Here is a 17,656-nt window from a genome sequence, read left to right as displayed (position 1 = left end):
TGCAAGTGCAGATTCCAGAGGAACATGAGTAGAAGCTGGCAAAAGCATGATGGGGATGTTTTCTGTATGCTTAGAGCCCCTGTAAAGTTTAAGCTCTCAGGAGCACTTCTAGCCCTGGGTTTCTGTCAGTCTGTGCCCTTCCCACAGCAGCCACATGCTATGCTCTAATGTATGGATGGCATAGGATCCCCATGTTCTGGCTCAGAAAATCAGTGGTGGCTTGTCTGGGACAGAATGAGCCACTCATAACATTTCTACGTCCCAGAGTCTAAATTAATTATTTTATATTAATTTTCTGAGTGAAATCTTACTGTTATAAGGCATAGTTTTGGGTCTTGACTCAAACTAAATTTTCTCCTCTGAAAATTTGCTAGTGGAAGAAGCATTTCATATTACATGCATACTGCCATTTTTCTAAAGCAGTGATATGAAGTTGGAGATAAGAGTTATCCCTTTATGAAAAGACATGCTGCCTTTTTTTTTTCAGCTATGGCAGTAGTTCATATTTTGATGTCTGATTCACTGCCTGGTATCATATCCCTGAGATTCTTTAGTTTTGGGATGCTCAGCCTCAATCTCCTTTCTTAGAGATAATTTTTTTCTTCTGAGGATTAATTATTTCTTTCTGAGGCAGGGCCATTTTGCTTATAAAGTATCCCATAGAGTTTATATTCATCTGCTATGGAGAAGGAGCCTAATAAAGCCTTGTTCTTGTACAGAGAGCAAGAAGAGGCAGGCACATAAACCTCTCCCCTACCATGTGCTCACAAAGTTTGAAGTCTCCATCTAACCAACTTACAAGGCAGCTAGACAAGATCAAAAGAGGAGCTTAATTGAAACTTTTTAAGAATAATCACTCTTCCACTATGGCTAGATGGTATATGCATTGGCATCTCACAGTCCAGGCGTGCCATTCAGGGCTGGAGGAAGGCCCCAGCCTTTCTAAAAGGAAATCTATCTATTAACATTGGCCACACAATTGTTACAAGATGGTAACAGAAATGATCTTAATGGTGCATTAAGTCTCAAATTATTTAAGGTTACTTATCAGAGCTCAGTTGTATGACTTTCACAGTGCAAGTTTCAGATTTCACACTCTCTGGGTTGGAGTGCCATTTAGAATTCAAATTGTCTTACAGAAAATGCAAAAACCAAAGCAGATTCACACATGGCAATTTACCAGTTAACCCTTTTCATTTCAGATTTCCAATTTGCTTTCTGCTCAATTCTCTGACAAACAAGGCCACTTGGAATGGAACCTGTAGTGATAACATCATTATTGTCATCATCATCACCACCACCACTGAATATTTTTATTATTGTCATCATTACTATTGTTATTTAGCCCAGGAATTAGCACTGCAAAAGGTTCATTCTAAAATGATAACCAGTCCACGAGGTAGGTAGAAATGCCAGGACTCTGAAATGCACAGTTTGAAGCACTGTATTATAGGTTAGGTCTTAGCAATCTACAGCTTAACCATAAGGCTATACCTAGGAACTTAAGCTGTCTGAAGGCAGAGTACACTTTGCGGTGGGCATATAGAGGCCTTCGTTCTTATTCCTGCTCAATAATAAAATGTGTGCATGCTCTACAAATCCTGATTTCCTCCTTTTATAGGCAGATGAATGTTGTAGTTAAAGACACAGGCCTTAGACTCAGATTCAGAAGTTTGTGTCTTGCTCCACCATTGACTTGAATTTTCTAATGTTCACTTTTCTTATCTGTCAAATGTAAATAATAAATGACATTGTTGGGAAGCTTGAAGGAGGCAAAATATGCAAAAGTTCTTGACATATTTCAGAGTAAATGCTTAATATATGCTGGGTCTTGGCTTTATTAAACTCATTGAGTGTGAGTGAGTGATATTGAACATTCTGTGATGATTGGATGTATATTCTTATTGAATGTACTTAGTGTGTATGTATCTCATAGATAGGATTTAACTTGTAATCAGATAAATTAAGATATAATATTCTCTTGATATTTAAAGCTGAGATCCTTAAAAATATATCAGCTGTGAATATCATGAGGGCAAAGAGAAAACATACCAGGATTCTTGTCCATTAGTTTTCTTAAGATTTTGTGTGTGAGAAAACTGGAGTGAGTAGATTTTGAGAACTATAGCAGCCTGATATATTGAAGAGTCAGTCTGGTTCGGTGGTTTGATGTAGGTCATACATTTATATTCTGTTCTGTTATTTACTAGCTCCATGACCCTGGGCAAATCATTTGGACTTTCTGAGCCTGTGCATTCTCGCGAAAAAAAAAAAAAATACCTGCTTCATAGGAATTGGGATGACAAATAAATTAGGTATTTGAATCCTGAGCACCTGATGCAATGCTACACATCTTGTAGATGTACAAAAATATTCATGAACGAAGTCAAGGTTATTAGGAAGTGGGATATGGGAAATAACCTTTAAAAAACATCCTTAAGACAAATGGGGTTTAGAATCAGAGTGTGGGAAGGTAATAAGACAGATGCAGAAAACAAAGCTGTGCTGTCATTTGTGATTTTCTACTCAGTTCTTAATCCCACTAAATTGCCTTTCTCAACAACAGCAATAACAACTAAACAATTGCATCTTTGGTTTACATAATATATTTTGTTTTAATCTTTCATTTTTATTTGTTTAAGTAAGCCTGGTCTTTAAAGTTTTTTAAATCTAAAAACATTGTATTATTTTAATCCTCTGACCCTTTAAAAAAATTCGAAACAAGCAAGTTTGAGACATTCCTTTAACTCCAAATATTACTTAGAGTAATTTCTTGAGATCAGATGAGATGGTTGCAGAAAGACAAATGCTTAATATAAGACAGAAAAATGAGAATGTGTGTGGAATATTATCGAGAGGAGAATTCTGGAGTTGAGAACTCTAGCTGTGTCTCAATTGAATCATAAGCAAAAATACCTACTGACCAATGGGAATTCAAACTCTCACCCACCATGAAATTCTAGGGTGCAGAACTGGGAATCGTCTATCACAGACATCATTTAAAACATGCTTGCTGAACCATGAATATACCTCAAACCATGCCAGAAATTCAGCACAGTCCCATGAATTTCTGTTTCCTCTAGAAGCCAGAAAGTTAAGATGCCCAACCCAGATCACCCATAGAAATCATAGAAGCTGGTGATGAGATAGCTAAGGGGAAGGATGTGGGGAACCAGCCCTTGATCTGCCCCCTGAGCAAGACCTTAGAATTTGCCCAATATTTCAGAGGGTAATTCTTTTAAATATACTTTATTTTTTAGAGTAGTTTTAGGTCCAAAGCAAAATTGAGTGGAAGATACAGAGATTTTTCATATATTCCCAGTGCCACACACACACAGCCTCCTCCATCATCAACATTCCCCAGAAGAGTGGTTCATTTGTGATAATTGATGAGGCTACATTGATACATCATTAGAGCATGATGTGTTGATATTGGAAACTCATGGGACACCAGACCTAAGTCACTATATTGCTGTGTGAACTTGGGGAATCTATTTATCTTCTCTGAATGCTACTCTTCATCTGGAAAATGTAGCTAAATATTATTTAAACACAGCATTGTTATTAAGTGGACTTGAATTATAAGTGATAAAGGACATATGTATTTGTTATTTTTAAACAGCCCTATCAGTAGAGTGGGTGTATGTAAAAGAGGGAATGTTGGTGGGTGTTTGTTGGTTTTCTGTTGCTTTGTTGGTTGCTGTGGATCCTGTGAGGGTGGGTGTGGGGTACTAGGTAAGGTCAGCGCTCTTGCAGTGTGGGGACATATGTGAGTGAAAAGCTGTCGGGTCTGGCTTCCCAGGAGCCCTAGTGTGTGATGGGGTTGAGGAGGAGCTTAGAGGAGCAATGGCCCAAGATGCAAGCACCCATGATGATTAATTTTATGTGTCAATTGAGCACTCTGTGATAATTAATTTTATGTGTCAATGTCTAGCCAGATTTGACTAAACATTATTTCTGGGTGTCTTTGAGGGTGTTCTTAGTGAGCTTAGCATTGGAATTGGTGGCCTGAGTGAAGCAGAGGGCACTCCCCGGTGTGGGTGGGCATCATCCAGTTTGGTCAGGTCACAAATAGAACACAAAGGCTGAAGAAGGGAGAATTTACTCGTTTCCTCTGCCTAACTGATTGAGGCAGGCTGTCAGTCTTCTCCTGCCCTTGGATTAGAACTCACATCATAGGCTGTTGAGTTCTCAGGTATTTAGACCTAGACTGGAACTATAGCAACTACTCTCCTGAGTCTCCAGCTTACCACCTGCAGATTATGGGACCTGTCAGTTTCCACAACTGTGTGAGCCAATTTATTTACACACACACACACACACACACACACACACACACCCTTGCTGTCAATATTACTAGTACCACTGACGCTACTTTTAAAAATCAAGTAAATTCTTGAAGACTATATACCATAGTATTTATACTAGAGATCATATACCATATTTTTTACACTAGTGTCTAGAAGACACAATAGTGTAAAGCATAGTACATTCTTATATAACTTCAAGTGTCTCCCTATGTTAAGTAAGATGCTGCCATTTTACTGAAATATTCTGTACATTCATAATTCTTCATGTACATGTGTCTTCCACTCTGTATCTGCTTTGTATTCTGAATAAGTTAGGGATAATGTCTCAGAAATTTCCTCTGACTTAACACTTATCACGATGTCATTTCCTTTTTTCTTCATATATATATACATGTTTTTGAATTCAATCTTGATTTTGCCCTTTTAGGCCTGCTTCTTCTATTACTCTGAGGTGTGTGTGCAATATGAGAACAGAAATCATGTTTGTCTCCTCCCCTCTATCTGCATGGCCCCAGCGACCATATGGGACATAAGGAAGGCCCACAGGGAGTGTGTGTCAACTTGCTTTCCATAATGGGTGTATTAGGGTTCTCCAGAGGAACAGGACCAATTAAAAATATATTTAACATGTAATTATATATCACTATATATTATATATATATATCATATATACTACATACTATATTATATATAATGATTATATATTATTTATAGATAAGAGAAGACTTATTACACTAATTGGCTCACATGATTATAGACTGAGAAGTCCCACAGTCTGCTATCTGCAAGCTGCAGACCCAGAAAAGCCGGTGGTGTGATTCAGTCTGAGTCTCAAGGCTTAAGAACCAAAGGAGACAATCTGAGGGTAAGATGAGATGATATGAGATGTTCCAGCTCAAGCAGAGAGGCAGAGAAAAAGGGGCAAACTCCTCCCTCTTCCACCTTTTGTTCTATGTAGGCCTTCAATGAATTGGATGATGCCATTCCACGCTGGGGAGGGCAATCTGCTTTCCTGGGTCTACCAATTCAAATGCTCATTCCCTTTGGGAAACACCATCACAGATACACTGAGAAAGGATATTTAATCTGGGCACCCTGTGATACCCATGTAAACCTATAAAATTAACTACTGCTGCTGTAGCCACTGCTTCTGAAGGTGAGGCATGGTTAAAGGCATCAGCCTCAGTCCATAGAGGAAGGGTTATTCAGAACCATAAAGCACCAAGGGCCGATAACGACAACTCAGGTAACACTTCTTCCATTACACAGCTCAAGAAGGATGTGAAGCAGGACTAATTTTTATTTACATTGCCTGTTTTGGGAGTGCTTTTTTTGATGGGGCCACTGATAAGTACAATCCAGTGGCTAAAGCTGCCTCCATCCCAAGCCAGCCGTAAGAACTGCCACTGTTTACATCCTGCAGAGGCAATTGTGAGCAGCAAACAAATAAGTAAGATTTGATTAGAGGGCAAGACAGAGAGATAGTGTGGACTGAAGCATTATTATACTAAAATTTAAGAAACAAATGATATTTTCAAAAGTGTTAAATTTTTAATTATAAAATATTAAACTACATATATATTAAAATTACTTAGACTCTAAAATTAATTGTTCTAAGAAATATTTCACTCATTCAACATTTATTAACTTCCAATGTGCTAGGTTTTGGTGGTTTCACAATGGGCAAAAAAAGGCAAGACTATGCAATATTGTGAAAAAAAATCATTATACAATAGTAAGTGGTTCATTAGCATAATTAAAATTGGCAGGTAGCACAGATAGAATCAACAAAAAAGCTTTTAATATTAAATCTATGACAGTCTTTGGAAGGGTGTAGTGGAACAGAAAGTGTGACCTTAATACACCAGATATTGTGAGAATTACTCAAAAAACAGTAGGCAGATAAGATTCTATTAAAGAAAAAAATAGCCTGTAACGGACTCAAGGAAGAATTAGCTAAAAAGAATACAAAGGCAGTCAAGGCTTTGCAAGTGAAGAAATGGAAGGATCACAGGGGCCAGAAAGGAATCATGAAACTACTCAGGGCTGGGTGGTTACGATATCACATCTGCTTGTTGAGGCTACTTGATCTCTTGCCTTTCATGCCTTTTGTGCAAAGCTCAGGGTATCAGAAGCATCTGTACCAGACAATCAGAGAAAATGAAGATGTGAGGCCTGAAAGACAGTGCAGTGCCCTGGAAGGCTGGAAATTCCAGGTGGTATGGTCATCACTATCTACTGAAAATAAGTATTTCTGAGCATTGCTGATTACTGCCTTCTACTGCTTCTCCATGGTTGGTGGCATAAAGGAGGGTGGCAATATTAAATTATAGCATTCACACAAATGCTTACAGGGATCTAGAAACACAGATGACAACCCATACAAAGGACTAGAAAACACCTGAGAAAAACTTATAGAATTAAAAAGAGGCATCATCAATCCTAACAAGCAGATTTAATACAATAATAAAGAGGCTTTCAATAACAGATCTTTAAGAAATGATACTGTGTCATAAATCTATCTTATCATTAACCAAATAGTCACTTAAAAATACTAATTGTATAGATTAAAAAATTAATAATAGAATATATAGCAAAAACACCACTGAAGAGCAAATTGGAGAATCTGGAAACCTTAAATTAAAAAAATGGAAAAACATGGTGTTCTACATCCATTTATTAGAAGTTCCAGAAGGAAAGACTAGAGACACAGGAAGGAAATAAATAATCAGTAAAATATTTCATAGATGGCTCCCCTGCCCAAAAAAGATCTTTAAATTGACAGCCCTCACTGAATGATAAGCAGGGTAAAGAAAAATGTAACCTCACATTGGGAAATTTAAACAACTGTAGAATAAGCCTGAAGGAACTTTCTAGATAACAAAATTAAAAATTAAATTAAATTAAAAAAACATAAATCTCAAAGAAACACAAAATAGTTTCACATACCACAACACTGATGCATGAAGCAAATGAAATAATAGTTTCATATTGCTGTTCTGACAGGTTTATAGGTGTGGTAGTTTTACCAGGGCCAGGAAAGCTGCGAAAAACAGCAGATATGTTTTTGAAGGTTGACTTCCTTTGGAGCAGAGTCAGCAATATGCTATGTTTCTGGGTATGAAACAGTGGTGATCTCAATGGCAAAAGAATAGGTGAGGCCAACATTGCAACCTAAAGTTGCAATATTAGTTGAGTTAAGCAAGATTGACAGACAAACCATAAATTTAACAAGGAAATCAGAGGATTGAGATAGCCATAGTATGCCTTCTCAAGTTCTGACATAGTCCTGGCAGACTAGAAGGCAGTATTCACTTGCAAGACTGTTTATATGCACAGGATAGAATGACAGCCCTCTCTGTTTATACTCCCTTGGATAAATGTGAAGTCTTCCATACATGCAGAGGAGACATGAGGAGGCCCGGGGGAAAACAAAACAAAACTGAGGTATATCTGTAAACTTTTAAAACTTTGAATATATTGCATAGCATATATTCATTGCAAACAAATGCGGAAAGACTTACCAGCTCAAGGTTTCAGGGCAAAACACCTGGCCAGCCAGTGGCTCTTTATTAATATATGCTGACTTAGGTGTGAGCTTTAGGAAGCTATGCTTAAAAATAAAAACAGGAAAAAATTAGAATGAGCAGGTATCTCGGGAGCTGTACACTGTGGAGTAACAGACAGGAGAATGAGACCAGGCAGGTCACAGAAAAAGAAACAAACAAAAAGAACAGAACAGAACAGAACAGAACAGTAAAAAAAAGCCTTGTAGGAAAACCAGAATCAATGATTTCTTTAATATATTATCTAACAAGATGCCTGGTTTTCCACAAAATAATGTATGAGACATGTCAAGTAACAAGAAAGTAACAAGTGTAACTCATACATAGGAAAAATTCAATCAATAAAAAGTATCTCCGATGGAGAGCAGATACTGTGCCTAGCAGATACAAATGATTACTACATATGTTTCAAAAACTTAAGAAAATCATGACTAAAGAATTTTTAAAAACATATGACAATAATGAGTGGGAGAATATCAATAAGGAGTTAGAGATTTCAGAAAAAGAATTCAGTGGAAATTTTGGAGTTAAAATATATTATAACTTAAATTTTTAAAGTGTATTAGAGAAAATTTATCATGAGAAAAATACAGTGAAGAAACAAACAGTGAACTTAAAAATAGATCAATAGAAATTATACAATCTGAAGAAGAGTAAGTAAAGAATATGAGGAAAAAAGGATTGAACCTCAGAGACCTGTGAAACAACATCAAATTTATTAGCATATGTGCAAGGAGAGTCCCAGAAAAAGAAGAGTAGGAATGAGACAGAAAAATTACTTGAAAATAAAATGGCTTTAAACTTCCCAAATTAGTTGCAAAATATTTATTTTTTGCACTCAAGAATTTCAAGGAAACGCAAGTTGGATAAATTAAGAGATACATACTTAGACATTATATTCAAACTATTGAAAGACAAAGACAAAGATAAAATATTAAATGAAGCAATAGAAGAAAAACAAAAGGCTCATCACACACAGACAACAACAATGTGATTAACAGCTGACTTCTCATCAGTGACAATGGAGGGCAGAAAACAATGGATGACATATTCAAAGTGCCAAAAGAAAAAAATTCAACCAAGATACACACATACACATCCATAAAAACTACCTTTCAAAAGTGAAGGTGACAAAGACATTTTCTGAAAAACAAAAACTGATAGCATGTATTCCTAGTAGACCTTCCTTAGGAGAAATAATAGTCTTTCAGGCTAAAAAGAAGTCAAAGCAGATATTATCTCCAATTCACATGAATAAATAGAGATCACTAGAAAACACAATTATATAGGCAAATATAAAACCTGTGTAAATATATATTTTTCCCTTTTTCTTAACTGATTTAATAGATGATCACATGTAACAATAAGTATGAAATTGTATAAAGATTTCATATGCTATAAAATATGTCATATGCATGTAAATATAGCACAAAGAAGGGATAAGAAATTGAGTTATATTGAGGCAAATATTTTGTATTTTAATGAAATTAAGTACTAATCTGAAATTAACTGTGAAAAGAGACAGTGTATATTGTAATTCCTAGAGCAATACTAAGAATACTAAGAAAATAACTTAAAAATATGCAAAATTTTTTACCAACCTGATACTTTTGAAAACAATAAATACATTAATTAAAGGATGCAATAAAATAAAACAACAAACAAATTAAAATGATACAACATAAAATATCTATTTAACATAAGACAAAGTAGCAAATGAGGACCAAAAGTATAAAAAGAAATGACAAATCTTTGGATAGATTCACCAAAAAATAAACTAAGAAAACACATGTTTTAAAAATCATTCATAAAATAGAGGACATCACTACTAATCCTATAAAAATTAGAAGTATTATTAATGGACACTATTAAATTTATGCCAACAAATTAGGCATCTTAGTTGAAATAGACAAATTCTTAGAAATATAGAAATTATCAAAAATGACTCAAGATAAAATACACAATCTGAATAGACATATAATGTGCAAAGAATTTGAATCAATAATCACAAATCTTCCCACACACAAAATTCCATGTTTGATGTGTTCACTGGAAAAATCTATGAAATAGAGAAGAAATAATGGTACTCCTTCACAACTCATCCACAAGAAGTGTAAGTTGAAAAAAAAGGGAAAAACAGAAGGAAAGGGAATATGCCCAACTCATTCTAAGGGGACAGTATTTGTGTTATATACCAGAGTAAAAGACATTGTAAGAAAGGAAAACTATAGACCAATATCCTTCAGGAATACAAATACAAAAATTCTCAACAAAGTATTAGCAACCAAATCCAGCTATAGATAAATGGGATTATACACCATAAAGAAATGAGGTTTATCCCAGGAATAGAAGCTTGATTTAATATAAAAATATCAATTAACATAATTTACAATATTAATAAGCTAAAAGGCAATATTACATAATTATCTCAACAGATTAAAAAATGAGACAAAGCCAAAATAATAAAATTTTTCAACAAATAATGATAGAATAGAATGGTACTCTTAGAAAGTCATCTATGAAAAATCTACATCTAACCTAGTGAAAGACTGCATTTCCTCTAAGGTTGGAAAAAAAGGCAAGGATGTCCTTTCTTTCCATTTTGATTCAACCTCATAGTAGACGTTGTAGCCTATGCAATAAAGAGAAGAAATGGAACTCAGGATGAAAGGTAAGAAGTAGAACTGACTTTATTCATAGATAGCATGATCTTGTAAGTAGAAAATCCTGAGGAATTCTTAATGCACTTACTAGAACTAATAAATATATTCAGCAAAGTTACAGTGTCAAAATACAAAATTCAGTAGTTTATTTCTACATGCAATGAATAGTCAAAGATGAAATTATAAAAACAATTTCAAATATAATAGCATCAATAAGATAAAAATATTTTAAAAATTTAAATTCAATGCAATCCATATAAAATTCACTTCAGGCTTTTTTTTTTTTTTTTGCAGAAATTAACAAGGAGATGTTAAAATGTATGTGAGTATGCAAAGGACCTAGAACAGCCAAACAGGTTTGAAAAAGATAAACCAAGTCATGGAACTTACACTTTTTTATTTCAAAGGGTTTGGCCCATAATCCCAAAAGACACAATCCCTAATGCCATAATTCCAAAAGATCAAAATCTCTAGAGTTTAAAATTCTGAAAACCATAATCCTGGAAGATCAAAATCCTGAAAATATAATTCTAAAAATGTTTTAAAGATATTTACTTACATTTTTAAAGGGGTATTTATTTGAGAAACATAAAAAAATCATAGAACACTTCATAGGTCACTTTACATGATAAAATAGGCAGTAATTACATATTTTATAAACATAACCACTCAGTTATACTAATTACAATTACATGGATATAACCGTTATGGGCAAATAAACTGTACTCATGAAGAAACAGGTCAAAAAGCAAAATGTATAAATGAATATCACTATGGTTGGTAATTGTGTGCACCCAGCGTTATAACTGCAGTTATTTGAAATACTGTGGACAACCTAAGTCTTTTTTTGTTTTTTTTGTTTTGTTTTGTTTTGTTTTTGAGACAGAGTCTTGCTCTGTTTCCCAGGCAGGAGGGCAGTGGAGCAATCTTGGCTCACTGCAACCTCTGCCCCGCACCGGGTTCAAGCGATTCTCCTGCCTTAGCCTCCCAAGTAGTTGGGATTACAGGCATGCACCACCGCGCCCGGCTAATTTTTCTATTTTTAGTAGAGATAGGGTTTTGCCATGTTGGCCAGGCTGGTTTCTAACTGCTGACCTCAAGTGATCTGCCTGCCTTGGTCTCCCAAAGTGCTGGGATTACAGGCGTGAGCCACTGCACCTGGCCGACAACCTATGTCTTTTGATGAGATGGATCAAAAACACAATGGGTCACCACTATGTATGCAGTCACCCAAAGAGCTGAAATCTCAAGAAATTTTATCATTAACAAATGTTATGCAGATGTATAAAAAGGACATCCTTTTATTTAGTGAGGAAGTGTCCACATTTTTACATGCATACACAATGCTTACACACAGTGTCCATGTTGTGGTAATGCACTTTCGTTGAGTCAAATTTGCAAAAAGTGCACAAAATGAATTAGAGTGCTCTAAAAGTCTTTCTGCACTTTATATCTTCAGTATTGAAAATTATGTGAAGATAAAATGCATAGCATAGCAAATTGGTGCTATGGGTGAAGGGGCAGATGTCGTACATGATTGAACAATTTCGCAGGGAAAATTTCTTGTATTTTTTGCACGTGTTTTTACTTCTATGATCTTTGAAACACTCATTGCATTTGTATTTGGGGAGTCATTGTGATGTACAAATTGTGTAAGCATATGCCACTCTTTTAAAAGTTTGATTATTGCTGGACCATTGCAAGTAAGCAATTTTCTGCTTTTGTAGAACCAATAATAATTAGCTTTTAAACTTTTATCTTTCACCATTAAGTAGCCTTGTACCCTTAACTTATCAAAGCCATTTTGTGAGGGAACAATTTCACAGATCTCGTCCACTGTGTTGTAAGGAATACAGTAAGAGGAAATGATATTCAGCTTCCCCAGTACCAAACCTGTGTTAGTCAGGGTTCTTCAGAGATACAGAGCCAATAGGACATGTAGATAGATATATCAGAGGAGGTTTATTAGGGGAATTGGCTTACACAGTTATGGAGGCTGAGATGTCCCACAGCAGGCTGTCAGCAAGCTGGAGACCTTGAGATGCCAGTTGAGTGGCTCAGTCCAAGTCTGAAGGCCTCAGAACCAGGAAAGCTGATGATGTAGCTCTAAGTTTGCACACCAAATCCTCAGGACCTGGGAGGTAGCTGGGGTGGAAGTCCTGGAATCCAAAGGCCAGCAAGCCTAGAGTTATGATGCCCAAGGCAGCAGAAGAAAAGTCTGTCCCAGCTCTCAGAAAGAGATCAAATTGGCTTATGTATTTGTTCTCTTCAGGACCCTGTCCATTAGATGGAGCCTGCCAACACTGAGGGCAGATCTTCCCCACCTAGTCCTCTCAGACTTATACACTAGTCTTCTCTGAAAACACCATCACAGACACACCTTAAATAATGCTTTACTGGGTTTCTAGGTATCCCTTAATCCAGTCGACACCTAAAATTAAGTCGATAAATCTATCCTTTGTCAACCTGTCACCCATTCACATCTTCTTAAGTTATACTTAATTTCCAAGTAAATACAATAACAAGGTGATAGTTCCACTTAACATGATGCAACTATACTGTGCACAACTAAGAATGTACCAAAACCTTCCCCAGAATTTGGCTTTAAGAATTTCAACATTTGGGATTTTAATCTTTCAGAATTATCATTTTTGGGATTTTAGATGTTAGGAATTTTTAGACTTTAAGGAGTTTGATTTTTAGAGATTGTGATCTTCTGAGATTTCAGTATTTGAGATCATGGTGTTTGGGATTGTATCTTATGAGATTATGATCTGCACCAGCTTTCAAAATGTCCTATAAAGCTAGAGTAATAAAGACACTGTGGCATGGCATAAGAACAGACATACAATCAATGGAACAGTATTAAAAGTTCAAAACTAAGCCCTAACATTTATGGTCAACTGATTTTTTAAAAAACATTCGCTAACACAATTCAAAGGGGAAAGGACATTCTCTTCATCAAATGGATATTCTCAAGAAAATAAAGCTGTTTTAAAGACTTTAGAAATTGAACAAGATGTATAAATACAAAGCTAACTAAAAACAGAAAAAGAACAAATAGAGATATTTCCAAAACTAACTACAGGTAGATAAAAGAACGAAGAGAGACATTTTATGGTGACAAAATATACAATCTATCAAGGCTACCTTATAACCATAATATCATAATGATAAAATACGTACTACAGAATCTGTTAGAAATGTAAAAGTAAGCTTACAAGTCAATAATCAGAGTAAGTTTTTTAACACACTTCTCTCAAAATTAGTAGGTTATATAGATAAAAATAAGGCAGAATATTGAGGACTTGAATAATGTTGTTAAGATTTATCTAATAGATAAAATAGTATTTTACAGCTAGGACATAGAGAATAAATTTTTTCCAAACATTTCAGAAATTCACTAAAATTCAGCATATTTTAGGTCACAAAGGAAGTCTCACAATTTTTAAAAATTATGTTTATATATGGCTGCAAAATATTATATATAGCTGCATTTATTGCATAAAGTCAACAAGATTTAGAATTATAAAATTATTGTACTCAGGGCTGGGTGCTGTGGCTCACGCCTGTAATCCCAGCACTTTGGGAGGCCAAGGTGGGTGGATCACCTGAGGACAGGAGCTGGAGACCAGCCTGATCAATATGGTGAAAGCCCGTCTCTACTAAAAATACAAAAACTAGCCGCGCGTCTTGGCAGGCGCCTTGTAGTCCCAGCTACCCAGGAGGCTATGACAGGACAATTGCTTGAAGCTGGGAGGTGGAGGTTGTAGTGAGCCGAGATCATGCCACTGCACTCCAGCCTGAGTGACAGAGTGAGACTCGGTCTCCAAAAAAAAATAAAAAAGTATCATACTCAGATCTATACACTTCAGTATTAAACAACCAACCACAGACCATCTGTGCCCAGTGCTTCTAACGAATTATTTTTCACAAATATATATACGAGATGAAGAGCTGAATGACATGTTTGGCATCATTTTCTCAAAGAACCTCACCAAAATAACAATAAGTTGAGTTTTAATTTTATCATTTGAGAAATAAAGCCACAGGACAAAGATAAGTAGAAAGAAGACATGGGGATGGAGGAAGAAATTGGAAAACACACTCCTTCCACGTAATATGTGGAAAGCCATAGTAGAATGTCTCCCTTACTTTAGTAATTATAACTAACCAGATGATAGACAAAATGACAATTATTTTATGTCCATGAGAAAGCTGAGATCACAAGGTAACCTAATGAAAAAAAATCCAGAAATTACCAGCCTTTTCTTGCCAGGTTGGGATTCTGCTTTCATCTTTGGCAGAGTAACATGAGAAGGTGGAAGTCACCACAGACACAAGTGAATGTGGCTGTAATTGAATTTTTAATAAAAATTTAAAGGCTTACTGTGGTCTGGACTGATTGGTATCTTGGAGGGCCCCAGACACAAAGGAACCTATAACTACCTATTATCTCTTTTCCAAGGACCTTATTAAGTGCTCTCTTGAAAGAGTAAAGGTAGGGACCCCTATCTGAGATACAGGTATGCTGGGTCTGCTATTGTCTGAGGTCAGAGGAGAACTAGATAAACCCACTTGAGCTCTGGCACTTATATAGTTTAGGAGACAGATACAGTCTGTCATAGGCAGCTTCTAAGATGTTCTTAGTGATCCCTGCTTCATGATATTCATGCCTTTGAGTGATCTTCTCCCCTTGAGTTTGGGCCGGGCATATTAACTAGATTGTAATGAATGGAAGGTGGCAAAAGTGACATTACTTCTGATGTTAATATGAAAGTCTTTCTTCTTTGCCATCGCTCTCTCTCACTCTCTCCAGGTTGCTAATGAGACTGCACTGTAGAGAGACCCATGTAAATGAACTTGGAAGTTCTTTTGAGAGATTAGAAGTCTCTTTCCTCAGTCATATCCCGAGATGTCTCCCAACTCAGCCATATCTTGATTGCAGTCCTGTGAGAGACTCTAAAGCCAGACTGTCTAGCTAGGTGGCTCCCAGACTTCTGACTCAGAGAAATTCTCAGAAAATGAATCTTTGATGTTTTAAGCCATTAAGTTTTGGAGAGTGTTGTGCAGCAATAGCTAAGCAATACATAGACCTTTGCTGGAGGGAAGACATCAGAGAGAAATCTATTTATCTGCCTAAATGTGGGGAAGAGATAGAGAACCAGTACTCTGGGTCTTATGCGAAAACCGAAAATAAAGAGAAAGCCTTGAAAGTAGCCAGGGAAAACAAAACATATTAAATAGAGAAAACAATAGTAAGAATGGCTGACTTCTCATCAGAAAACAGCAACGGAGACTATAAGACAATGGAATAACATATTTAAAGCCCATTTTTTTTTAAAGAAAAAAAAAAGTCAAACTAGAATCCTATATCCTGCAAGTCAACACATAGAAAATGAGATGACAATGGGAGAGAAAAGATAAATTACAGAACCCATCTAGGAGGTCCAGTAACCTAATATTTAACCCTAGAAATGAGTTTCTGAGAGAAGAGAGAAAAGGGAGGAAAGGAAATTATTGATCAAATAATGGAAAATATTTTCCCAGAAATTAAAAAGAAGTGTTTAAAAAGTGAACAGGCTGTAGTCACCTAATACATTGAGTGAAAAGAGACCTACATGAAAATATCTTATGTGATTATGGGGACAGAATATATATATATATATACTATATAGTATATATATATATAGTATATATATAGTATATATATAGTATATATATACTATATATATACTATATATATAGTATATATATATACTATATATATATACTATATATATACATATATAGTATATATATATGTATATGTATAATGCACACACACACACAGAGAGAGAAAGAATCAAGAATCAGAGGTTCAATAGTCATTATATACCTTAATCACACCCTTGGAAACTAGAAAACATGTAGAAATTTCTTCAAAATTAATTATTTCTAACTGAGAATCTATTCCCAATCAAATTAATTGTGGGAGTTAATTAAGAAATTATCAAAACTGAATATTTTAAAACTTTACCTATAACACGCTCTTTCTCGGGAAACCACTACAGGATATGTCCTGCCAAATCGATGGAGTAAATCAAGGAGAACAATAAGGAATCCAAGAAATAGAGGATCCAATGCAACAGAAGCAAATGGAATCCTCAGGATGATGGTAAGATTCTAAAAGGACAGGTACCCAGCAGGCCAGGAATCCCTTCTGTCCAGCCTGAGGCATCTAAGAAAAGCTGTAAGGGTCTCATCAAGCAGGTAACAGTGGCAGCATACCTAATGTGTCTCAACTTCTTGTAATGAGAATTTCACCGCTGAAAAAGTTTGGTTGTGAAGTAATGATGAGCTCACAGAAAATAAGCTATAAGAAAATAGTATGTTGTTCAGGCAACAATATAATCAATGGTGGCTAATATTTATGGACATACTGAAGTAGGCATGACTACCTATCTAGCCAAAATTAAAGTATATTGGGAAAAGTGTGGGGGTGTTAGGATGGGTTGGAGTGGTGTTGCAAAGAATCAGTAAAAAACAGCTAAGAATCCATATTATATTTGGAGAAATCAATATATAATTTTTAAGACTAGAGGTTTTTAACAATCTAAGTATATTCTTTAGATACATTAAGTCAAATAACAGAAGATGTGGTTCACTGACTTTAAATTAGTTACTTAAAAGGAATGAGAAATATGGTGAGGTTTCTATAACAAACTTTGTAAAACTATTTGATCTTTTAAATTATGGAACATAAGACTAGAAATATATGAGATCAAAAAGAACAAAGAATAAAAAACCAATATTAAAAATTCTTTAGAGTTAAATGACAATTACAGTACCACATATGTTTTTAGTAAAAGTACACACACATATGCAGGCATACAAACACAAACATGAATGCACATATACACATATCCAGACACAAGTGTACACATACCTATATTTGAATATATAAAGACTCATGCACACATACTGATAAACACATAAAATCTTCTCTATTTGTACATGCCCTATGTACATGGCTTTATAAGAAGAGGAGAAGAGTTCTGAGCTAACATATGTCATGTACAAATATATAAATGATTATACACATGTGCATATAAAACATACATATATACACATGCAC

General features: G+C 35.4%; 1 long non-coding RNA gene across 3 annotated transcripts in view; it reads right to left on the bottom strand.

The window, feature by feature from the left end:
* The window catches only part of LOC105378396 (uncharacterized), a 66,197-nt gene extending 49,562 nt beyond the window's left edge, over positions 1-16,635 (bottom strand). For 2 of the 3 annotated variants that reach the window (NR_172928.1, NR_172929.1), the window contains exons 1-2: positions 16,559-16,635; positions 5,058-5,169 (exon numbers count right to left, since the gene is read on the bottom strand). This is a non-coding gene — a long non-coding RNA (uncharacterized LOC105378396). Of the gene's footprint in view, positions 1-5,057; positions 5,170-12,481; positions 12,699-16,558 lie in introns of those variants that run through there. The other variant, NR_172930.1, reaches the window with a different exon arrangement.
* Positions 16,636-17,656: the final 1,021 nt, after the last annotated feature.

The sequence above is a fragment of the Homo sapiens genome, chromosome 10 (assembly GCF_000001405.40).
Source record: "Homo sapiens chromosome 10, GRCh38.p14 Primary Assembly".
Lineage (NCBI taxonomy): Eukaryota > Metazoa > Chordata > Mammalia > Primates > Hominidae > Homo > Homo sapiens.
Note: the sequence above shows the minus strand (reverse complement) of the source record. Positions and strands in the feature narration are given on the sequence as shown.